The 26,320-nt window shown below is 35.0% G+C and overlaps 1 long non-coding RNA gene across 4 annotated transcripts in view; it reads right to left on the bottom strand.

Annotated features, from left to right (window-relative positions):
- Positions 1 to 26,320, bottom strand: part of LOC105370467 (uncharacterized) — a 186,853-nt gene that overhangs the window by 106,440 nt on the left and 54,093 nt on the right. For all 4 annotated transcript variants that reach the window (XR_007064132.1, XR_007064130.1, XR_007064131.1 and 1 more), the window contains exon 3: positions 11,742 to 11,823. This is a non-coding gene — a long non-coding RNA (uncharacterized LOC105370467). The remainder of the gene's footprint in view (positions 1 to 11,741; positions 11,824 to 26,320) is intronic.

Below are 26,320 nucleotides of genomic sequence, written 5' to 3'. Positions count from 1 at the left end.
AGTATTAACATCAATTTCTGTAATACTGTACAATCCCCAAATCACATTGACACCAATTAGTTTCTTTCATGTATGTTTTATTTACATTTTTTATTTTTTGTAGAGAAGGGGTCTTCCTATGTTGCTAAAACTGGTCTCAAATTTCTGGGCTTCAGTGACCCTCCCACCATGGCCTTCCAAAGCACTGGGATTACAGGCATAATTACAGGCATAAGCACAGCCTGTAATTATTAGACCCTGAGGAAAATAAAAATTTGTTCTTCTTCTGTTGTGGACTGCATTGTGTCCTCCCAAAATTCATATATTAACTTCCTATCTCCCAACATGATAGTGCTTGGAGATAGGGCCTTGAGGGAAGTAACTGAAATTAAACAGGGCCATAAATGAGGTCCTAGTCCTATAAGACTGATGTCCTTTGAAGAATATGAAGAGAGACCAGAGCTCTCCTTCTTACTATGCATTCACAAAATAAAGGTCAAATGAAGCCACATTGAGAAGGCAGCTTTCTGCAAGCAAGGAAGAGAGCCAGTACTAGAAACTGAATGTATGGGCACATTAATCAAGGATCTGGCCTTCAAAACTATTAGAAAATAAATAACATTTGTTTAAGCCACTCGGTCTAGTATTTTGTTATGGCAGTCTGATCAGATTAATAGACCTTCTTAGAGAAGAGAAGATAAAGTTTCAGCAGTATAAAATAATGTGTTCAATTTTATAGTGTACATATTAATGCCTAGCCCACAGTATTTTCCACTAAGTTGAATGACAAACAATTACATGTAAGAGTAGTTTTACTTCTAGCTAGAAAGCAAAATATAAAACATTATGCAATTCATAACAATACAATAATTAGATAAAATTAAAAATGTACTCCTACTTCAAGATATTGAAGAGTGTTGAATGCAAAGAAACCTTATTTGAACTAAATTCTACAGAGAAAAATAGCCCTATACTATATATATATATACACACACACACATACTATAGCCCTCCTATAAAGGAGAGCAAAGAGCAAAAGTTTCTTTTTTATCAGGTGACAAGTGCCTGGTCTGGATACAAGTGGGCAAGTGGGCAAAGAAGCAGTGTCTATCAAAGATGGAGAGACTTTGCAAGGATGAGAAGAAAGTAGGTGAGCCACTAATGATACTGTAAGCCCACATGGTGGATTGAAATCTGAAAGACCAATAAATGCAAAAGAATGTGAAACGTTTCCACCCCACTAACTCTGGGAAATTTCAAGAAAAATTGCCTGAAGAGGCACAACTGGCAAACATAGAGAGTTCCCACAATTTCATGTGATTTACCAGTACTTTTATTAGGCAACCCTTCTATAGTTGAAAAGAAACACAAAACATAAGTAATATAAATTGTGAACCAAAACAATACCAGCTTAAGTCAAGAGAATATTAATAAGCTTTGTTATTAAGAGGTTTAATGAAAAGTTGGACATTTTCTCAGGTGGCACATATTTTAAATTTAACTATATTAACTTTAACAAACAGATTAAATACATTTAAAGCAAAGGAGAAGTCAATCTAATTAAAACAGGGTTAGCACAAGTTGAGTTCCACTAGTAGGAAAATACAACTCTAAAATGTTGCTGCCTTACAGAAGCAAGCTTTTTAGCTTTTCACTCTATAGAAAAAAATGAAATAAAACAAAAAAATTTACTTCATGCATTATTGTTATTTTACAGACAACACCTCATATATTACAAAAAGATTATGAAAGATGAGAAGTACTATAAAAAAGTGAATGAGAATAAGTAGTCAATAAAAGCAGACATGCAGGTGACATAGATATTGAGAATAGCATTCAATGCCATTTAAAGAGTTAGTTATTTGTTTTTGTTTTATTTTTTAATTCCGTAGGTTTTTGTGGAAAAGGTAGTGTTTGCTTACATGAGTAAGTTCTTTAGTGGTGATTTGTGAGATTATGGTGCATTTATCACCCAAGCAATATATGCTATATCCAATTTGTGGTCTTTTATCCCTCACCCCACTTCCACCCTTTCCCCCAAGTCCCCAAGGTCCATTGTACCATTCTTATGCCTTTATATCCTCATAGCTTAGCTCCCACTCATGAGTGAAAACATATAATGTTTGGTTTTTCATTCTGGACTTAACCCCATTTACAATAGCTGAAAAAAAAATACTTAGGAATATACCTAACCAAGGAGGTGAAAGACCTCTACAAGGAAAACTACAAAACTGCTGAAAGAAATTAGAGATGCCAAAAAAATGGAAACACATCCCATACTCATCAATGGGTAGAATCAATATTGTGAAAATCTACCAATTCAATGCAAACTACCACCATCATTCTTCACAGAACTAGAAAAGACAATCCTAAAATTAATACGGATTTTCTTTATCTTTTCATATTATCCATAAAAGAGCCCACACAGTCAAAGCAAGATTAAGCAAAAAGAACAAATCTGGAGGCATCAGATTACATGACCTCAAACTATAATATAAGGCCATAGTCACCAAAACAGCATGATCCTGGTATAAAAATAGGCACATAGACCATAGAACAGAATAGAGAACCCAGAAATAAAGCCAAATACTTACAGCCAACTGATCTTTGACAAAGAGAAAAAAAACATAAAATGGAGAAAGGACACCCTATTTAACAAATAGTACTGGGGTAATTAACAAGCCACATGTAAAAGAATGAAACTGGACCCTCATCTCTCACTTAATAAAATATCAACTCAAGAAGGATCAAGGATTTAATCTAAAACTTGAAACTATAAAAATTCTAGATAATGGCACTGAAAAACCCTTCTAGACATTGGCTTAGGCAAATACTTCATGACAAAGAACCCAAAAGCAAATGCAACAAAAACAATAATAAGTAGGTAGAGTTTAATTAAACTAAAAAGTTTCTGCCCAGCAAAACAAAACAAAACAAAAATCAGCAGAGTAAACAGACAACCCACAGAGTGGGAGAAAATCTTCACAATCTATACATCCGGCAAAGGACTATTGTCCAGAATCTACTGGGAACTCAAACAAATTAACAAGAAAAAAAAAGATCCCATCAAAAAATGGGCTAAGGACATGAATAGACAATTCTCAAAAGAAGATAGACAAATGGTCAACAAACATATGAAAAAAATGCTCGAGACTACCAATGATTGGAGAAATGCAAATCAAAACCACTATGCAATACCACCTTACTCCTGCAAGAATGACCATTAATCAAAAAATAATAGATGTGGCAGGGATGTGCTGGAAAGAGAACACTTTTACACTGCTGGTGGGAAGGTAATAAACTATTACAACAGCTATGGAAAACAGTGTGAAGTTTCCTTAAATAACTAAAAGTAGAACTACCATTTGATCCAGCAATCTCACAACTGGGTATCTACCCAGAGGAAGATAAGTCATTACACAAAAAAGGTGCTTGCACAGGCATTTTTATAGCATCACAATTTGCAATTTCAAAAATATCAACCCAAATGCTCATAAATCAATGAGTGGAAAAAGAAATTGTGGTGTGCATATATATACATATATATATATATATATGTATATATATGCAATCTATGCATGTAACAAAATTGCACTCGTACCCTATATATACAAGTGATATATATATAAATATTTATATATTTATAATATATAATTATATAACATTTTATTATATATAATTATATAATGCATTATATATTATATAATAATATAGGCTATATAATGTTATATATTAATATAATATATATATATTTACGTTGTCAATCCATTAACTTTAGTGGACACATCGAAACCACAGCAATCCCCCAACTTCACAAGGTGAAAGGAATGAAGGGAATGAGATCTGAAAAGTAGAATAGGAAAATCGGAAAAAATGCCATTGACACTGGGGATATTGAAGCCAGTTCTGCTGAGTTTTCTTGGCCAGTAGAAGCAGACTGTTCACCAATGTTTGGAGACGTTTATTCTGTTTTTACTATAGAACCTATAATGGCCTTCCCTGTGGTAATTGCTTTGCAAGATATTGCTGACTGTCCATAGGATTTACTCTCACCACCTCTCTTTGTTTCTAGATCTATAACTATATTCAAGTCTGAGAATGCCTCAAATGGTGAGATACAAAGGATAACCCATGACGAGTTATACTACATGTCAAAAGAACTGCATTATTTTTTACCAAGTTATACAGAAAGAACTCTGAGGAATGTGTACAGGAATGAATATTAAAGCTTTGAAATATTGATAGAAAAATAAATCAAGATGGCTCAGGTTGAATTTATTGATATAGGTCGACTAATCAGAAATTCTAGATTCATTGTTTTAGCTAAAGGGATTTGAAAGAGCTTTAACGGTTTGGTAATTTGATTGACTGAAACATGAATCTAAAGGTGACCTATATTCAATGAATTAAAAACCCAACATTGCCTCAGTATACTGTTTCAGGGAAGTATTCAAAAGATTAGGGAGACTGGCATGTTAGAGTGGACTTATCATGTAAGACCTGCTCACCCATCCAGGAAAGTCCAGAGGAAATACCTCCTTTCACCATGACTTCAGGAAACAAATTTGTGATAGAGCCTCAGTGTTATGGGCTGGATTATGCTCCCCCTCCAAAATTTATATGTTGAAATCTTAACGCCCAATATGACGGTATTTGGAAATGGGGCCTTTGGAAGATAATGATGTTTAGACAAGGTCATGATCGTGGGGCTGTCATAGTGGAATGAGTGCCCTTATAAGAAGAGGCACCAATGAGCTGGCTCACTCTCTCTCTCTTTCTCCAAGCAGGCACAAAGAAGTTATTTGAACACACAGTGAGATTGTGGCCAGCCCATTTACTAACCAGGAGGAGAATACTCACTATAACATGACCATGCTGCCATGCTGGCATCATAATCATAGACTTCTAGCCTGCAGAACTGTGAGAGAATACATTTCTGTTGTTTTAGCCACCTGGGCTATGGTATATTATAATGACCACCTGAGCTGACAAGCATCCTTAAAGAGCTTTGTGGTTACTCTTTTTTTTAGGTGCCAAATTACAATGGGAACTCTAGCCACCACACTGGACTCTATAAATGCAATGGAGATCATTGAACCTGGAATGGCAGGAAGAAAATATTGTCAATTGATCACCAAAGACAAAGTGGCATCAATGTGGACAGTAGTGTCAAAGCAGTAATGGACAGCAGAGTCAAAGCAGTGATTAAAATAGTCTGACTCAGAGAAAACCATGGAATTGACAAGTTAAGTATGGTGTCCCTTGAAAGGAAATAGATAACCAGTCTACTAAACTATTTTTTGATCTTTTTAAGCAGAAAATTTCCAGGTTGAATGAACAGAAGTCTAACTTGAATCACCAAAACAATGTCATGAACTCCGAATAAGTTTTCAGACATGAGGCACTTTACAGACTCAGAATTTCTTGAATTAAAGGAAATCCAGATAATTTTGAGGAAATCATGCTATGCATTCCAAAATTTATACTGCTCATTTTTCTCCCATCCTTCTCCAAACATATCTATTGCCATTTACCAGAGTGACTTCATTTGAGAAAGCAAACTAATATGACTTTTCAGAGATTATTCAAATTTCAGGGGAAAAAAATTTAGGTCCAAGAGGCTACTGTGTTACATTATGTAGATCAAGTTATCAATGGAGTTTTAGCTCAGGTACATCTCACAGTGGGTCTCTAAACCCACCCTGTAGTTATTTCCTAAGTTCTGGAATGTTTAGCTGGAGTAGAAATACTCAGCAACTAAAAGAATAGGTACATTGTTCCCCTGACCTGTGGAGTTAGGGCTGTTTTGTTGTACTATATATATGTGGTTAACTAAAAGAAGTAATAATGGATTCCAGAGGGATTGCAAGGATTTGAAAGATTCCGATGTTGTGAGTCCCACCAAATCTGTATTCAGCTCTCCTATTTGACAAATGCAACAAACAAATGGATCATGGAGAATGAGAGTGGATAATCATAAATTTTATCAGGTGGGTGATTTCATTTGCAGATGCTGTGCTCGATGTTACTTCATTGCTCTTGCAAATTAATACATCCCTTCATATGTGGCATGCATCTATTAATCTGGTAAATGATTTTTTTTCTTGATACCTGTTAGTAGAAATCACCAGAAGCAGTACTCTTTAAGCTGAATAGGTCATCAGTACACATTGCCCATGGTCCCTACTCCTACTACCCTACTTCTTTCTCCAAGCAACAACTATAACCTCATGGATGGCTCCCTATAACCAGTAAACTGTGGGAGAAAAATCTTAGACCTGGTTTCTAAATGGCTCTGCATGATCTACTGGCGTCAGCCAAAAGCGGACAGTGGTAACACTATGACACCTCTCTAGGATATTTGTGATGGGAAGTCCTCCAAGTTGTCAGAACTTTGAGTTTTGTACCTGATTGTTCATTTTGCTTGGAAGGAGGAATAACCAGAGGTATGAGCATATTTCAATTTATGAGCTGCAGCCAATTATTTGAATGGATTCTCAAGAAATTGGAAGAAACATAATTGGTAAACCAATGACAAAGAATTCTGAGGAAGAGGTACACAGTTAAACCTCTTTGAATTGGAAATGGACATGAAAATATTTATGTCTTGTACAAATCCTCACCAAAGGAGTATTTTAATAATGAAGTAGGTAGGATGACACATTCTGTGGACACCAGTCAGTCTCTTTCATGTATCATGTACAATGGGCTTGTGAAGATAGTGGCCATGGTAGTGAGGATAGAGATGAAGCATGGGCTCAGCAATATGGACTTTTACTCACCAAAATGAACATGGTTATAGCCACTGCTGAGTGCTCAAAAATGGAAACCAACACTGGATTCTCAATACGGCACCATTCCCAGAGTAATCAACCTGATGGCAGGTTGATAACATTGGACCACTTCCATTGTAGAAGGGGTTGTGCTTTGCTCTTACTAGAATTATTGCTCTAGATATGAATTTGCTTTCCCTGAACACAATGCTTTGTCAAACTACAATCTGTGGACTTACAGAAAGCCTTATCCACAGTCACTGTATTCTACAACCTACTGTTTCTGATCAAGGAACTCATTACATAGAAAGGAAATACGGCAATGGACTGATGCTCATGAAATTCACTGATCTCATCAGATTCTCCATTACATTTAAGCAGGTGGCTTGATAGGATGATAAAATGGTATTTTATTTTATTTTATGTTATTTTATTTTATTTTATTTTTGAGACAGAGTCTTGCTCTGTTGCCCAGGCTGAAGTGCAGTGGCGCCATCTTGGCTCACTGCAACCTTCATCTCCTGGGTTCAAGTGATTCTCCTGCCTCAGCCTCCTGAGTAACTGGGATTACAGGCACCCACCACCATGCCCGGCTAATTTTTGTATTTTTAGTAGAAACGTGGTTTCATAATGTTGGCCAGGCTGATCTTGAACTCCCGACCTCAGATAATCAGCCCGCCTCGGCCTCCCAAAGTGCTGTGAGTACAGGCATGAGCCACCGTGCCTGGCTTTAAAATGGCCTTTTGAAAACTCATTTATAAACCCAGTTATATCTCAGTACGTAGCAGGGCTAGCACAGTAGCCTCTAGGAGGCTATATGTGCTCTAAATCAATGTCTAATATGTGGTGCCGTTCCTCTCATAGTTAAGATTCACTAGTCAAGGTATCAAGAGGCAAAATAGTACCACTAACTATTACCTCTAGTAATCTATGAGCACAGTCTTGGTTTCCTTTCCCCGATAACCTTAGGTTGTGCTGGTGTAAATGTCTTAATTCCAAAAGGAGAAAAGTTTCCATCTGGAGACACAACATTGTTTCTATTAAGCTGGAAGTCATGACTGCCCCCTGTCACTTGGGACTTCTCATGCCTCTAAATAAAAAGGCAAAAGGGGGAGTTAATTTACTGAATGTGGTGTTTAATTCCGTTTACCAAGAAGAAATTAGACTGCTACTACACACTGAAAATACATAAGTATATGTCTGAAACACAGAAGATCCCTAAGGTGTTTCTTAGTACTACTATATCCTGTGATTAATGTCAATGGAAAATTATAACTCAGTTCAGGCAAGACTGCTAATGTGCTAATGATGGAGACCTTTTAGAAATGAAGGTTTATGTCACCCCACCGGCAAAAAACCACACCAGCTAAAGCACTTCCCAAGGGTAAAGGGAATACGGAATGCATAATGGAAAAAAATAGTTATGCATATCAAATATAGAAACCCGACAAGTTGCAGAAATAAGGACTTAACTGTGTGTATGTGTGTGTAATATTTTTGTTTCTTTCTTTTCTTACCTGTTTATTATCTAACACAGATATATTAATAATAGTATATATTATGTTATTTAAGTTGCAGAATATTAAAGTGAATATCACGTAAGGAATTTTAATATTTAGGGAAAAGTTGAGCATGGTTTGGTTATGTGTGGGACAGTGGGGTCATGTTCAGTGGAAGTATGACTTTGCTATCATCTTTCTTTGGAGGTTAGGTATGCATGGGTGCCAATTTGGCAAGGAAAAACTATGGTGATCTGTTTTATGTGTCAGCTCAGCTAGATTACAGTATCCAGTTATTCCATCAAGAATGATTCTAGATGTTTCTGTGAAAGCATTTTATTCATAAGAGTAACATCCGCTATCAGTTGACTTTATGTAATGAAGATTAATTTGGTTGGATTAGATGCAATCAGTTGAAAAGCCTTATGAGCAAAACTGAAGTTTCCCAGAAAAAAAGAAATTTCATGTGTTTATTACAGTGTCAACTCCTACCTGAGAGGTTTCAGCCTAAGAATTTCAGATTTGCCTATTCATGCCCTCTAAACAAAGAGGTAAATCTCTTGCAAAAATCTCTCTCTCACTCTCTCTCTCCATATAAATACAATTTCACTAAAATATGTTCACCCCAATTAAGCAGATATTTTCATTTAGTCCTCATTGCCCTGTATCCTTGTATTTCTGAGTAAATACAGCATAAATTATACTGAGTAAATATTACAGAATTCCTTTAAATCTGTAATATCCCAGGTTTCCATGTACCAGGATTATTATTATGCAGCTGATCATCTGTCTTTACTCACATATTACAATGCTAGTAAAAGTAGAGGTAAGCTGAAACTTTCTCTGTTTCCAATGTCTAAGATTTACTTAGTTTTGGCATTTGACATATTTATGGATGCTTGACATGGGTATACTTTGATATAAGCAATATAAGTGAGAAAAAAATTGGGAATAACTACATATTGTATTTTTATTTAGTCTGTGAGGAACATGTCTTATGCTGAGTTTATCTGTATTAATTTGAGATAATGCATTATAGTTTTCTGTATATAATGTATTGAATACAATTTAATATAAACTACCAAATATACACAAGGAAGAATTAGGATTGTAGGATAAATGTCAGGAAAAACTGTCTCTAAATCATCCTTGAGGCCCTCTACGCTTTCTGTGACAATGCTTCCATAGCAATCACATTGTATGTGGGTTTTTATGATCATTGGAGAGATATTAACAAAGAAGAATGCTGTTTAATACCTTGTAACTTCCATAAATCTTTGTAAAAGTTTATTGATTTGAGTTGTGCTAGAGACACAGTATTTCCTAGTCTTATAATGCCAGTAGACACAAAAGATAGAACAAATAATCCATCAAACTTTTTTTTTAACTATCCAGTAAAGGGGGGTGGATGGGAGGTAAGGTGAAGTAATAGCAGTAACGCTCCGTATATGTTTATTTCTACTATTGTCTGCAGTGGTGAAGCAATACTGTAGCAGATATGAAAAAGCATTGACTTTTCATGTAAGAAGATCTGAATGGTCAGTCATTTGAATTTTCCAAATTACTTTGACATCCTGAGCAATATCTTGTTCTCTCATGAAGAAATGGAAGGATACTACCTTTCAGAAAATGTTTATGTAAAGCAATATCAGAGTTTTGGTACATAATAAATAATAGGTTTTTTTTAAGAAAATGAGGATTTCCTTTTTTAAATAAAGCATTTCTTCAGATAGCTTATCAGTGGAAATTAAGTTGAAGAAAACATTAAAGAGTAGTTAAAACCAAAAGGGAATGTTTGGCATAATTTGAACAATTTCACTGGTCAACTTAGAAATGCTCAGTCTAACATTAAGCAGAGTCTTATTTAATAAGGGAAAAGATTTCCAAAGTCCTCAAAGGACTGTGGTAACGAAGTGGTCATTATGTTTATGTTTATGTTTATGTTTATGTTTATGTATGACCATCTACAGAGTAATAGTCAAATTCTGCATTTACTAGAGTATATTTTGGAGAATGTTTCAATGATAAAATATGTTTTAGCAAATCAGAAAGCTATGTCTCATTTGGCAATTTTTAGTTTATTGTAAGCTGTGAGAACTTGAAGGAAGACATACTAGCAGGTTCTGTAAATAAATCACAATAGCTCTTTAAAACATTCAAGGCCGATAGCCAAGAAAATTGAAGAACTGTCCCAACATAGTAGTAGGAAAAAAGTTGGAGGCAAGGAGAAAGGCACTCCATAGACAGTGGACCTCTAAAATTATTTAAATGAGGAACGTAATACCTGTCTTTTAACATAACTATAAGAAATTAAAATTATCCCCACTATATAAGACATTAAGGACAGTAATGGTCATGTAATAGATCCTCAAAAAGCAATAACTATAAAAAATTATGATTATTAAGTAAACAAAATATTGCAGGTAATTGCAGGAATAGGCTATGTTCTAGTACTAAACTGAGTTTGGATATTGCATAAGCCACTTACTCAGATGAGCCCTAAGATTTAAGTTTTATATGTGACAAAAGTGTTCTCTTGAGCTTTAAAACTCTTCTTATAGTCTAAAGTTCACAACAGTTTAATAATACTGATTAATTCATTCCTAACTAGGCATTGTTTTAAAGGTCTAGAATCTAGTTATTGGGAAAGGTGTAATTAGCAACACGGACAAAACTCTTTTCTCAAGGAAATTAAATTTTAGTAGAGGGAGATAGAAAATTAGTTAATTAATCAATTGAGCAATAAAATATAGTATCTCTGATGAAGATAAATGATGTCAGGTAAAAGGGAACAGAAAAATAGTTAGAAAGGGACAGCTCTTATAAATACAAATAAGGAGATCAGGATGTTCTCACTGAGAGGTGGCAATTGAGCAAAGACCTGGAAAGATTATCTTTAGCTGCATTAGCAATTTATTGAATAGTTTCTATATACTATGTATTGTGGTATGTATGCAAGTTACAGGTATATCTTTAGTTAATGTTTACAGAAATTTCACTTTTACAAATTAGAAAACTGAGTCTTTATAGAATTAATTAATTGCCCACAGTCACAGAACTTGTAGTCTTTTGTGGAGTGAACAGTTTGAACCTAGGATTATTGAACCAGAGTCTATGCACCTAATAACAACAGTGCACTTATTATGTAAGTGGATAAGACTTAAACATTATGAACTTCCTCAACATTTCCATCCATGGAGCCTTTTTTTATAAACACTGAAAAATTAAAAAGCAATCTAAGTATTTTCAGTGGATGTAACATTCTCTATTTCAGAAACACACAGCCTTTACTCAGGTCTGCCTTGCATTTTCTTTTGCTTTATACTTCTTGTGAGTTACTGTACTACCTCGTAAAAACAAAAACGCAAACAACTTATGAAACTCAAAATTTGTCCTCTTTCTGCTTCCCATTATAATGTTCTTTGCTTTTTTTACCTGTGACAATTAGGAGCAAAAGCAAAGGCTGTAAAATGAGACAACTTATCCTTACCTTAAAATTGTTTCACACATTCTGAACAGCTCAATTTGAAAGTTGAGAAAGTACCCAGTCTTGGGTATTTCTTCATAGCAGCCTGAGAAAGAAATAATACAGGGGGTAAATAACAATACAACACATATGACTTCAACTAAAATTTCTTAATCAATAATTAAATCCTCCTAGTATAGAAATAATAATAATAAAAAAAGCATGGGGGGAAAGTTCTGAACAGCATGGGGGAAACCACCCCCATGATCCAATTACCACCACCTGGTGACACTCTGGACAGGTGGGGATTACGGAGATTACAATTCAAAATGAAATTTTGGGTGAGGACACAGCCAAACCATATCACCTCCAGGTCTATTTCAAAAGCAGTCATTTTAAAATGCAAATTTTTTCAATACGTTGGAAACATGAGTATCTGTTCATGGATGAACAAAATGTGTTCTAGTCTGAGGCAGGTTAACAAATTATAATGTAATGTAAGCAGGTAATTACATTTAATAATAATGACGATTGAAAACCAGGACATAGCTCTACATGATGGAAATTTAAAGACTTTTTATAAGTAAATTCTATTTGGACATGTATATTAAGGATATGAGATATTTGTGATATTGTCACTAAAATTATTTCCCTGTAAATCTTGTAGTGATTTCTATCATTGGATAGTAAATTATACTGAAGTTTGGTTTTACTAATTTCTGTTTGTAAAATAATGCTATTTCTAAATAAGGAAAAGAAAGTCTCTGTAACTATAAAATACAATAGTTTTCAGCTTAGCATTGATAAGAGCTTTAAAACACATTGCATTTATACCATAAATAAAATATGGCAAATCTTATAATAATCATTTTAGAATATATAGTAATGAAGATGTATAATTGAGACTATGATATGGTACATGTTTCTTTGATGTTATTGATTTAAAAAACTGAAATAACATTTTAGTACATTATTAGTAAGCAATTAATTAAGTAGACATTATTGGTAAGCAATTAATTCAGATTTGTTAAAAGATGAATGACATGTGGGTAAAATCAATGTTTTCATCCAGAAATGTTTTGCCCTTGTCAGATACAGTGGGTTGAATGGTGGCCTCAAAAATGATAAGTACATGACAAATTCATGAAGGCTGTGAGTGCTACCTTATTTTGGAAAAAGGTATTTGTAGATGAAAAATAAATTAAGGATGTTGAGATGAAATAATTCTAGATTATCTATATTGGCCCAGATTCACTTTTGAAGGAAACACAGAGAAGAGACATCGAAGAGAAAGGCAACCTGAAGATTAAGACAGAGATTCTAACAATGTGACAAGAAACCAAGGAAGCCAAGGAATGCCAACAGCCATCAGAAGCTATAGGAGTCAGGGAAGAATCCTTCCCTAAATTGTCCTTCAAAAAAGTGAGAAAATAAATTTTTGTTTTAAACCACCAAGTTTGTGGTAATTTATCACAGACACTGCAAAAAATGAGTACAAGTTCTTAAAAATGAGGGAGACATCTTGCATCCTTTGGATGTAAGGAGGCCACTCTCTTCAGCTTTCCAGTGCTGGCAAAATGAACTAATGATGAGACTATATGTGGAACTAAAAATATGGACTACTTATCATCAATAAACTATTTAGCTACTGCTGCTGTAAGTGCCCAACCTGCTGGTGGAAGAGTGCATGCTGAGCCTTTCATGTGGCTACTTGTTTGAGGAGGCTAGTCAGCCATTTAGTGGCATGGAGATTATACTGCAGCCCTTTGAGGGACAATGATTAATCATTAACAGATATCTCCTCTGGATATGGGTTTACCTTCCTTACACAGAGGCCTCCTGTAACATCACCTCTTTACTTACAACATGATTCCTCTATCACTGTGCAATTCCATGCAATATTAACTCACACCAAAGAACAGTTGGGACAATAGGTTATTGACATGATATCATGTCATATTACCATGAACCTTGAATTCAAATGCACTTGATTATGATGGAATGGCCTAATAAAGGCCCAGATAAGATGCCAATTCAGGCACAACAACCTGAATTGTTGGGCTTTCACATTACAAGATGTTGGATATTTGCTGAACACTTGCAAATGGTTCTACATATGGTGCTAGAATATGTAGGTACGGGAATCAGGACGGAAAGATAGTACTGACTGCCCATCATTATTCCCACTGACACATTTCTTGGATTTGAAATTCTTAAGCCCACAACCTTACATTCTAGCAGCTTGTGTTTATGATTTCTACAAAGTAAAACATTCTTTCCAACACTTAATAAATATTTGACTAAACTTGAAGATGAGGCTGTGTACTAGATCCATTGAGCTTTTTATCTCACCTAACAAAGGTATTAGTAGACCAACAGACAGGAAGGACTCTTCTTGAACCTAGGGATTAATGGGTAGGACTCTTGGTATTTCTATGCACCATGATAACGGTAAACAGGCAATTGCAAATTGTCATGTTCTACTACTACACAAGCAGTCAAGAATAGTCAAACTGCTGACCAAAGATGAGTAAAACTAGAAAGAACAATGGAAGAGAAAGGTGACAAATGTTAGGTATAATCTTGGGACCAGCTGCCACGGCATAAACTATAACTACCGAATCTGTTTCTAGTTTTTGTTTTGTTTGTTTTGTTTTTCAATAAGTTGAGGCCAACTAGCATTTTTAAAATAATTACTTGTACTTTTACCTTTCTCTTGTACAGGAAGTAGGCATCTTGTTTCCATTAATATACAGGCACTCTGTTGTAATATGGGAACTAGATATAATTGAAAATGAGTTTGTGTGATAAAGGAAGTGAACTCTATCAGAAATTTCTTTCTTCATGTCATCTTCCCTTCACTTTTCACAAGGGCCTTGACAGTATTTTCCAGCTTTGGTAACCTCCCGTTCCTGTTACCAGTTCTACATGGATTCTAAGTAACTTCACCTAGGCACAACCAGATAGTATCTTACCTTTAGCCTACAGTCCCAGAACTTCTATGTTGACCTCAACTAACACAATGATACTCATCACATTTAAATGCAGCCAGATGGGTTTTCATAGAGGGGTGAAATTTTGACCAAGAAAACAGAAGATAGTAGATAAGTGTTTTCCCTTCTCCACCATGAAATACAATTGTTGTAGACTGCTTGGAAGAAAATATCACAATATCAATCTCAAGTTGCTCTTGATATCAGACAGTGACTCACTCAACAATACAGCTTTGGATTTCTTTTCACCCATTTCCATGTTCATCATACAAATATAACATTAAATATTATAAGCAAAAAAACATTTAAAATAACAAAGACAAAACACTTTGCAATCAGGTTTATAAATATTTAAATCTATAATAAAGAAAATGTTAAAACATTCATAAAACACAAAAATCAAAAGTCATTCTTTGTTCTTGGATGGAATGCATTAACACTGTAAAGATGTCAATTTTTCCTAAGTGAATTGAATATATTTCACAATAACAGTAACAAGTTTTATTCTTGAGGGAAACAAATATATTTCTATATTTCTATCAAAACATGAACATTGCAGGAATTGGTGGAAAAAACGAAATAATAGGAGTTATTTCTGTCTGATATCAAAACGTACTTCAAATTCTCTATAATTAAAACACTGTTTATGGTGCATGCATACATAAACTAAAGAAACTGAATCAAAAGTGCAGAAACAGATATCAATGTATGAGGATGTTTGGGTTTGGTAAAATTGGCATATCAAGTCATTGTGCAAATAATAGACATATTATTAAATGGTGTTGGAGGATCTAGGTAAATTTTGGAGAATTTGTTCCACACATGCAGCTATATAACCAAACTCAAAATGCAGATGTAATCTAAATATAAAGGAAGGAAGCAAATAAAGGAGGAAGAAGGACTGATTGATTCAAGAACTAGAAGGAAATACTGAAGAATTTATTTATAACTATGAAGAAAAGTCTTCTGAGGTAAAAATACAATAAAAAATTCAATTACATTAAACTTATGATGAAGAAGAAGAGGAAGATTATAACATTGGCAAAATTCAATAAAATGGATAAATATTTGCAACATATAAAACAGGGTTTATTACTACAAAATAAATGTATCTAAGCTATATACATATTATATTTATATTTTTAGCTATAAACATGTACACACGTATACATACAAGAAAGAAAAAAGGAAGGATGCATATTGATATTACATATGTGTGAATAAGAGAGAAAAGAATAATAATATGCACATATACATGGAAGCTTATTTTAAATAAATCAGAATGATAATTAAAAAGTAATTATATTGCTTCCCAACAACAGTTAAATGATTCATAAATGGAATAAAGACAGAAATGTGACTTCTTTAAATATAGCCTTTATATAATTTTGACTAGGAAAATATGTTGATATTTTGTATGATCAAAAATTTGAAAGAACAAACACAAACATGGATTTAATTGAATATTAAGTTGTCAACATAATATCTCTCAAAAAATATTAAAATAAAATTATTAAAATATTTTATCAAAGCAATTTGTATATAGTAAACTATACAAATCTTAATTGTACAACTTTATGAATTTTTAAACATCAACCAATTTAAATATTATAAAAACTACTATAGTCATTCTCAGTGGGAACATTGATGAATTTTTAAACTGTTCTTTATAGATGTGTTATTAAAAAGGCATTTGTGTAGTAATTAAAAGTCCTCTTGTGTGCTTTGTAGCAAAGGACAAATGAGTAACTCTATTGTGTTATGGACATAGAGTTTTCGTTGTAGGAGAAGGATGATGCAGATGTGAAATGTAAGTAAAAGTAAGGAAAATAATATGGTGCTGGACTTAATATGCCATGTGAGTATGAACTTACAATGTTTTGTCAAAAAATATTTTTTCTGGTTCCATCCTCTAAATTGTGCTATGTAGTGACATCTCATTTTGAATTAGCACATCTAGGATCCAGAATTCATGTGTAAATGTTATTCCCCACGTAAACAAACCAGGATTTTATAGAGAAATGACTCATTCCAGGTCTCAGAGAAGGGAAGCACAAGGGAGACTGAACAACATGTTTTGACAGAAAGTAATAAAGTGCTCAAAGGATAGGAGCATGCTAAGAGGAAAAGGTAAGCAGATAAATAGGCTTCCTATTGCTCAAATTTGCAACAACCATTAAGAAGATATTCTTTACCAAATGTTCTCAAATAAATCATGTTAGCAACAAATTAAGACACCAATGAATAAAATAGCAATCCAAGAGACAACAGCAATATGAACGAGGAAGAAAGAAAAGTCATTTCCTAAAATAGACTGCAAACTAAAAAATGTAGAAGAAATGCTACAATTAAATATTCACCAATTGTCAATTAAAACAGAAATAATTAATTCAGCCAAAACTCATTCTAGCAAAAATGATCAACTGATGCTAGTATGAGTGAATGGAAATTACTGAGAAAAGTGTATCTTAATATTTATAGTATTTATTATTTAAAAGGTCAATTTAGTAACTTTAGATTAGAGAAAGTCTTTTAATCACGTGACCTGATCTAAGTAGTTTTGTACTTGTGGAAAGAGTCAATACTAATTTCATAACAGAGATGGTTGTTCTGCAGGATAGTTTCCTTAATCTTATGATATACATGCTGAAACATTAGAAATAGTGAAGCATTATGTCTGCGCCTTTTTCTCAAAAAGTTCAAAAAAGGTAAAAGAAGAGGACAAAAAAAATAAAGAGAGAAAGAGAGAGATAAAGAGCAAATATTCTACAACGTTAAAAAGTAGAGAATCTGCTTGAAGGATATAGTGGAAATCACTGTGCTCCAGACTTACATGTAACAATGAAGTAAGTACATAGGATATGGCAAAAATCTTCATCTTTGTACCACGTTTAATTCCCAACATTACAAAAATGAAGCTACTGTTAGTGGCTTCCATGTCAAACTCAATAATGTACTTTTCCAAATGTCTGCGTAGAATTACAATACAGCTTTGCTGTATGCCTTGTGCCATATAAGGCACATATTGAGAATTTCTAAGATTATAAAAATAACTGATATTTTTATAAGGTTGAATTTGTTAATAAACAATACATTTTTGAGAGTGTCTAATTCTGTTCTGAATCATCATGTATAGATTGTTATTATCATTATAAGAGTAAAGATAATATGTTCAGAACTCAGCTGATATTCTTGATAATAAAAATGATGTTGATGCTGTATTTATAGCTAAGTTCCCTATTTAAGAACATTTTTTGGGCCGGGCGTGGTGGCTCATGCCTGTAATCCTAGCACTTTGGGAGGCTGAGATGGGCGGATCACAAGGTCAGGAGATGGAGACCATCCTGGCTAACACGATGAAACCCGTCTGTACTAAAAATACAAAAAATTAGCTGGGCGTGGTAGCGGGCACCTGTAATCCCAGCTATTCAGGAGGCTGAGGCAGGAGAATGGCGTGAACCCGGGAGGCGGAGCTTGCAGTGAGCCAAGATCATGCCACTGCACTCCAGCATGGGGGACACAGCGAGATTCCATCTCAAAAAAATAAAATAAAATAAATAAAATGAAATAAAATAAAAACATTTTTGTCCAAAAACTTTAAGTCAATAAATTCACAAAGAGAAATAGAACAAAGTTTTTACTATTCTTGGAGGACATTTTAGGTATTTTCAGTATCTGATGACTTAATGCTATTGATATGACAACCTATAAGTATCATAAAAATGTGGATTTAAAATAAAACAATTGTTTACTGAGAGGTTATATTTAATTTGTGGTTTCAAAGGAATTTTTTTTACCACCTTTGTATGTGTATATACTACCTACTGAAAATTATAACATGAAAACTTATATTTTAAAATATCACATAAAAAGCAAGTACCTAAGGAGATGGTCTTCACCCAAATGTAAAGCCAGCATAATCTTCATTTTGCTTTTATTCTTCTCAACTCAAGGATGCTGATGGAAATATCCTGTCAGAGTAAGTAAGCTTTCCTGCAGGCATCATTAAACACATACAATGAGGCAGTCATTGGTAGGGATCCTGAAGAACCTCTTACTTCTCTGTGATGCTATTTCTCATTTATAGAAAGCATCACTATTATAAAGAGACAGGACTATAATAGCATCACCTAGCTGAAAGAGAGATCCAAGATGGATCACTTTACTTCAATTCCTCTTTTACAAAATATTCTCATAACATCTATAGTGCCACACTTGATATTTTTTAAACTAGGCTGTGACTGCTCCATTGAGTAAATTAGACTAAAAGTATTAAAACATCCATCATTTAAAACATAATCCTAACATAGTTAAAACAATATTCAAGACATATTTTGATGTCAAAGTGATTTTGTCCTTCAGTGATTCCATTCTGTGAGTGTAAATTACAGTACACGTTAAAATAAAAATATATTTTCTTCTAAAATGAATACCAAAAATATCTGTTATCATTGCTCCTCTTAACTAGCTCCTTATTTCATGTATACTTATGCTATTGAATATAATCCTGCTATGGTTATATAACAGGAACTACATGAGTATTACCAATTTAACAGATTAAATTTTCAATTAACACCTCCTGGTAAAGATGGATAAAGGTTTTGTGAAGACTACTGCTTATCAAGTTTGGGGCAAATTGTTTAAGTAAAAGAATGCACAATTACAATATAACACATGTTTAGTACATATTAAACTTTTTAATTTAGAGACCATTCTATGGCAGAAAGAACAATATGTAAAAGACCTGAGAGAATGAAATTTATGTGGGCAAAAGATTAGCCTGGTACTTAAGAAAGGAGGAAGCAGGGCTTGGAAAGATCATTTAGGGCCAGCACTGTATGGTGCAATTTACATTAACATTTCAACAAGATTTGCATTCCAGCTATAACAAATATTAATGGCTTGACCTAATGCAAATTGCTTAACATTCCTGAGACTCAAACTTCTCATTTTTAAAAGAGAAAATTAGAACTAATTCATTGGATTGTGATAGAGATAATAAACATACTGAATGTTAAAACACTTTTTATATTCTGAAAATAATACTTTGTAGATTAGAGGCTTAGGATGTAGAAAGTCAAAGAGAATGAACTCCCACAATGAGAAAAAAGCTATCTAATCTCCAAAATGATAAGTTTTTTTTGAGCTCATGAGAGAGTTGAGGTTTCAAGGCAACTAGTTGAACCAAATTCTAAAGGTGTAAAAACGCCTTTCTTAAGAGACACTCTTTCACCTTTAGAAAAGCATCAGAGAAAGAGGTGATTGCAAGAAAAATGGGTATGAAAAAGCAAGTAAAATTGTAATAAACTTTTAAACAACTAATTTGATCTTGAGTAACAGTTTGGAATCACTGGGAGTCTCAGATATAACTGACGTCCTCATTTATGAATTATTTGTAAGTCTTTACCTGGTACTCAAAGAAAGGACGGGCAGAAGACATAAATGTGCAGCCCCCTTGCTAAAGCGCAGCCCCCTTGCTGGGGTATAGACACAAAACCCTAACTAATTCCAGAACCTTTTCAATCCTATCAAAAGAAGTAAAAGCCTTCTTTCCTCTGAGGCTAGGGCATAAAATCCAATGTAACTACAAAAATAACTAAATGTCTTTCACTTTCAGATAACGTAAGTGACTACATTTATTAATGAAAATGCTGATCCTGTTGTACTAACTTAGTAGGTTACCAATCTATGTTATTGTCAGGCCTCTGAGCCCAAGCTAAGCCATCATATCCCCTGTGACCAGCAAGTATACATCCAGATGGCCTGAAGTAACTGAAGAATCATGAAAGAAGTGAAAATGGCCTGTTCCTGCCTTAACTGATGACATTACCTTGTGAAATTCCTTCTCCTGGTTCATCCTGGCTCAAAAGCTCCCCCACTGAGCACCTTGTGACCCCTGCCCCTGCCCACCAAAGAACAACCCCCTTTGACTAATTTTCCTTTACCTACCCAAATCCTATAAAACGGCCCCACTCCTGTCTCCCTTCCCTGACTCTCTTTTTGTACTCAGCCCACCTGCACCCAGGTGTAATAAATAGCCTCGTTGCTCACACAAAGCCTGTTTGTTGGTCTCTTCACAAGGACGCGAGTGAAAGTTATCTCTTAATTGTTCCTTTTTGCTATAGAATTCACTCTAAATCTGTCTCTGATTTCCCTTATTCTCTTTGGAATTAACCAGAACATATCCAAATCCTGTAATGAACACCTCTCTACTCTTTCTTTCTGAGATGCCAACAGTCATTCAGCTCCACCTCACTGCAACAAATTAAAAATTAAATAAACATAACTTCGTTTACTGAAGCCGTGTTTCTATAGCTTTGGACAGTGGGATGTGGCAGTGTGAATATTAATACAATTTTGTAGGAAATAGAATGTGGCCCTTGGAAGAGCCTTAAATACTCCCACACTGCTCATGCTTTTATGGTAGGCAGAGTGTGCTTCCCCACACTTCAATTTTAGACATGGCTCTGTGACTTGCTTTGGTTGCTATAATATTAATAGATGCAATGTAGGCAGAAACTTGGAAGGTGATTTGGTCTTTCTTTTTGAGCTCCTAGCGTTTCCATGAGAAAAACATATACTGGGTCATTGCTATCATTTGGGCTAAACCACAGAGGCAATAGACCAATGACACACATGGAACAGATTTAGAAGTTGGAGCCAAGCCTAACCGAACTGCATCCTGAAACAAAGTCACACAAGCTGAACTTCAGACCCACAGCCAAAAAATGAGCCTCTCCAACTGACTTGCAAACCTGTAATAGGAAAAATAAAACAATGTAAGAATATGTCACTGAATTGGAGGTAGTTGATACACAGCATTATATGAATATAGCTGATTGATATAGAAATTGGTACCAGAAATGGGATATTGTCAAAGAAAGAAAGAAATCTGAAATATGTAGCATTTGTTGTGGAAACAGGCAGTGGGCAGTAAGAAAACTGTTAGAAAAGTTGGGAAAATTATAACACATATTATGTTGTGATGAAAAAAAATTGGGTAAAATGTCATCTGCAATGACTAAAAGGACAAAAAAGTATCTAAGAAACATTCAGTATGTCAAAGCAAAAATTGCACCAAAGTTAAACAGGCAAGAAGGATCTTCTTCGACATCATTATAATGGGAGAGACAGATTGAACTCAACTCTACTAAATCAAAAAGAGGGAGGGTTTTTATCCTCTAGGGTGAGCTCCTGGAAAAGTACTGGAGGATGTTCAGAAGTTGCAGGGAGGTTGACGAATGAATGTGTACAGAAAATAGACTTGTTTCTGAGTATGCAATGTTTTTCTCTTTGATTATGCTATCTGTGTTTGCTGATTGTGCCTATCAAAGTTAGGCTCCTTCCCTCCCACAGAGATTGGGAGATAGGGGATGCTATCTACTTTGATGTTTTCACTTCAAAGAGATGGTTTTCAGGTCATTGAGAAAGACATTTTTTAGGTTGCAAAATTCGCAACAGGCTGGGAGAGTTACATACATTTCAAAGAGAAAAAGGAAGAATTTACAATAACAAATCTTGTAAAGTAAATCCTAAAAAAAGAGAAAATACCAAGTAAATCCTAGGGAAAGAAATCAGTGGTTGATAGTAAGGAAGACAACTGTCTAAAGGTTAGTCAGGTTGAGAGACTGTTAATGCCATCTTGATCAGGCACTAGGTAACAAAATTCCTGGCAAAATGTTGAAAGTGAAATTAAGTAGCTAGAAGCTGCATTTGATAAGGTACTACCTTCCAACACCTCTTTCAGCTCAACTATCCTCCTGTCATCAATCAGTTGATAGATGCATATAAGAAAACTCAGATCATTTACAGGAAATGTAGAAGCTATATTTTTTGGCCTCTCTCCAGGTAATATATGAAAATATCCAGACACTAAATGTGATGGATACTACTTAATGACAAAACCATGGGCTTGAGCTTATTCTATCTAGATTTGAATTATTTGCTCTGAAACTTTTGTGCTGAGCAAATCTTGGCAATCTTTGGCAGATGACTTAACCTTCTCACTTGTAAGCAGGGACCTGCTTAAAGAAGCAGTTGGGTCTCCAGCCACCTCCTACAGGCAAGTTCTGGCTGGCAACAGGTCAGTATACCCCTGGAATGGATCTTCCAGGGGAAGGAGCAGGCTGACATTTTTGCTGTTTTTCAGATTTCACTGGTGACAGCTCCAGGTATGGGGGAAAGAGAAAGAGGCAACTATGGTCTGGAGAAGACCTCTAGCAAATGACAGCAGCCCAGGAAATGTGGGCTGAGTTCTTAAAGAAAAACAAACAAACAGAAATCAATGAAAATCCCATTCAAAGGTCAGCAACCTCAAAGACTGAAGGTAGATAAGCCCACAAGGATGAGAAAGAATCAACATAAAAACGCTGAAAACTCAAAAAGCCAGAGAGGGTCTTCTCCTCCAAATGACCACAATACCTCTTCAGCAAGGGCACAGAACTGGGCTAAGACTGAGGTGGTTGAATTGACAGAAGTAGGCTTCAGACAGTGGGTAATAAGGGATTTGCTGAGCTAAAGGAGCATGTTGTAACTCAATGGAAAGATCCTAAGAATCATGATAAAACAATACAGGAACTGATAGCCAGAATAGCCAATTTAGAGAGGAAACATAACTGACCTGATGGAGCTGGAAAATACAGTATGAGAACTTCACAATGCAGTCATAGGTATCAATAGCAGAAAGACCAAGTGGAGGAAAGAATCTCACAGCTTGAAGACTCTTTTTGAAATAAAACAGTACAGGAGCTGATAGCCAGAATACCCAGTTTAAAGAGGAAACATAACTGACCTGATGGAGCTGAAAAACACAATAGGAGAATTTCACAATGCAATCACAGGTATCAATAATAGTATGATCAAGTGGAGGAGAGAATCTCACAGCTTGAAGACTCTTTTTGAAATAAAACAGGCAGACAAGAATAGAGAATAAAGAATGAAGAGAAATGAAGAAAACCTTTGAGAAATACAGAATTTATAAAGAAACCAAACCTACCACTGATTAAGGTAACTGACAGAGACAGGGAGAATGGAAACAAGTTGGAAAACATACTTCAGGATATCATCCAGGAGAAATTCCCCAACTCCAAAAGACAGGCCAACTTCCAAATTCAGGGGATGCAGAGAATCCCAGTAAGATATTCCATGAAAAGATCAACCCCAAGACAAATAATCCTCAGATTCTCCAAGACTGAAATGAAATGAAACATGTTAAGCGCAGCCTTGGAGAAAGGCCAGGTCACCTACAAAGGGAAGCCCATCAGACTAACAGCACACCTCTCAGTGGAAACCTTACAAACCAGAAGGGACTGGGGACCAATATTCAACATTCTTAAAGGAAATAATTTCCAATGCAGAATTTCATAGCTGGCTAAACAAGGCTTCATAAGTGAAGGAGAAATAAGATTCTTTTAAGAGAAGCAAATGCTGAGGGTATTCATCACCACCAGGCCTGCCTTCCAAGAGCTCCTGAAGAAAGCACTAAATATGGAAAGGAAAAACCTTTACCAGCCACTACAAAACACTCACTGAAGTACACAGACTGGTGACACCATGAAGCAACCACATAAACAAGTCTGCAAAATAACCAGCTAGCATCGAGATGACAGAATCAAATTTGTACGTAACAATATTAACCTGAAATGCAAATGAGCTAAATGCCCATTAAAAAGACACACAATGGCAAGCTAGATAAAGAGCCAAGACCTACTGGTATGCTGTCTTCAAGAGACCAATCTCACATGCAAAGACACACAAAGGCTCAAAATAAACGCATGGAGGAAAATCTACCAAGCAAATGGAAAACAGAAAAAAGGAGGGATCACAATCCCAGTTTCTAACAAAACAAACATTAAGCTAACAAAGGTTTTTTAAAAAGACAGAATGTCCCCCAAGACTGAACCAGGAAGAAATTGAATCCCTAAATAGACCAACAACAAGTTTGGAAATTGAGGCGGTAATAAATAGCCTACCAATCAAAAAAGCCCAAGACCAGTTGGATTCACAGCCAAATTTTACCAGAGGTAGAAAGAAGAGCTGGTATCATTTCCACTGAAACTATTTCAAACATTTGAAAAGGAGAGACTTCTCCCTAACTCATTCTATGAGACCAGCATTATCCTGATACCAAAACCTGGCAGAGACACAACAAAAAAGAAAGCTTCAGGCCAATAACCTTGATGAACAATGATGCAAAAATCCTCAATACAATACTGGCAAACTGAATCCAGCAGCACATACAAAATTTTATTCAACACAATCAAGTTGGCTTCATCCCTGGGATGCAAGGTTGGTTCAACATATGCGAATCAATAAATATGGTTCATCACATAAACATAACTAAAGACAAAAACCACAGGATTATCTCAATAGATGCAGAAAAGGCTTTTGATAAAATTCAACATCCATTCATGTTAAAAACTTTCAATAAACTAAGTATTGAAGGAACATACTTTGAAATAATAAGAGTCACATATGACAGAACCACAGCCAATATAATACTGAATGCACAAAAGCTATAAGCACTCCCCTTGAAAACCAGCACAAGGCAAGAATGCACTCTCTTACCACTCTTATTCAACATAATATTGAAAGTTCTGGTCAGGGCAATCAAGTAAGAGAAAGAAACAATGGGTATTTAAAGAGGAAGAGAGAAAGTCAAATTATCTTTGTTTGCAGATGACATTATCCTATATCTAGAAAACCCCATTGTCTCAGCCCAAAAGCTTCTTAAGCTGATAAGCAACTTCAGCAAAGTCTCAGGATACAAAATCAGTGTGCAAAAATCACTGGAATTTCTATTCACCAACCACAGGCAAGCAGAGAACCAAACCATTAATGAACTCCCATTCTGAATTGCTACAAAAAGAATAAAATACCTAGGAATACACCAAACAAGCGAAGTGAACAATCTGTTCAAGGAGAACTACAAACCACTGCTCAAGGAAATCAGAGAGTAAACAAATGAAAAAAGAAAAATAAAATTCCATGCTCATGAATAGAAAGAATCAATATCATGAAAATGGCCATACTGCCCAAAGTAATTTATAAATTCAGTGTCATTCCTATTAAACTACCATTGACATTCTTCACATAATTAGAATAAACTATTTTAAAATTTATATGGAAACAAAAAAGAGCCTGAATGGCCAAGACAATCTTAATCAAAAAGAGCAAAGCTGTAACATCACACTACCTGACTTCGAATTGTACTACAAGGCTACAGTAACCAAAACAGCATGGCACTGGTACAAGAACAGACACACAGACCAATGGAACAGAATAGAAAACTCAGAATAATACCACACACCTAGAACCATTTGATCTTCAACAAACCCAACAAAAATAAGCAATGGGGAAAGGATTCTCTATTTAATAAATGGTGCTGGGATAACTGGCTAGCCATATGCAGCAAATTGAAACTGGACCCCTTTCTTACACCTCATACAAAAATTAACTCAAGATAGATTAAATAATTAAAATGTAAAACCCAAAACTATAAAAACCCTGGAAGAAAATCTAGGCAATACCATTCAGGACATAGGCAAAGGCAAAGACTTCATGATGAAAGTGCCAAAAGCAATCGCAACAGAAGCGAAAATTGATCAATGT

This window comes from Homo sapiens, chromosome 14 (assembly GCF_000001405.40).
Source record: "Homo sapiens chromosome 14, GRCh38.p14 Primary Assembly".
Lineage (NCBI taxonomy): Eukaryota > Metazoa > Chordata > Mammalia > Primates > Hominidae > Homo > Homo sapiens.
This window is presented reverse-complemented; position numbering and strand designations above follow the sequence as displayed.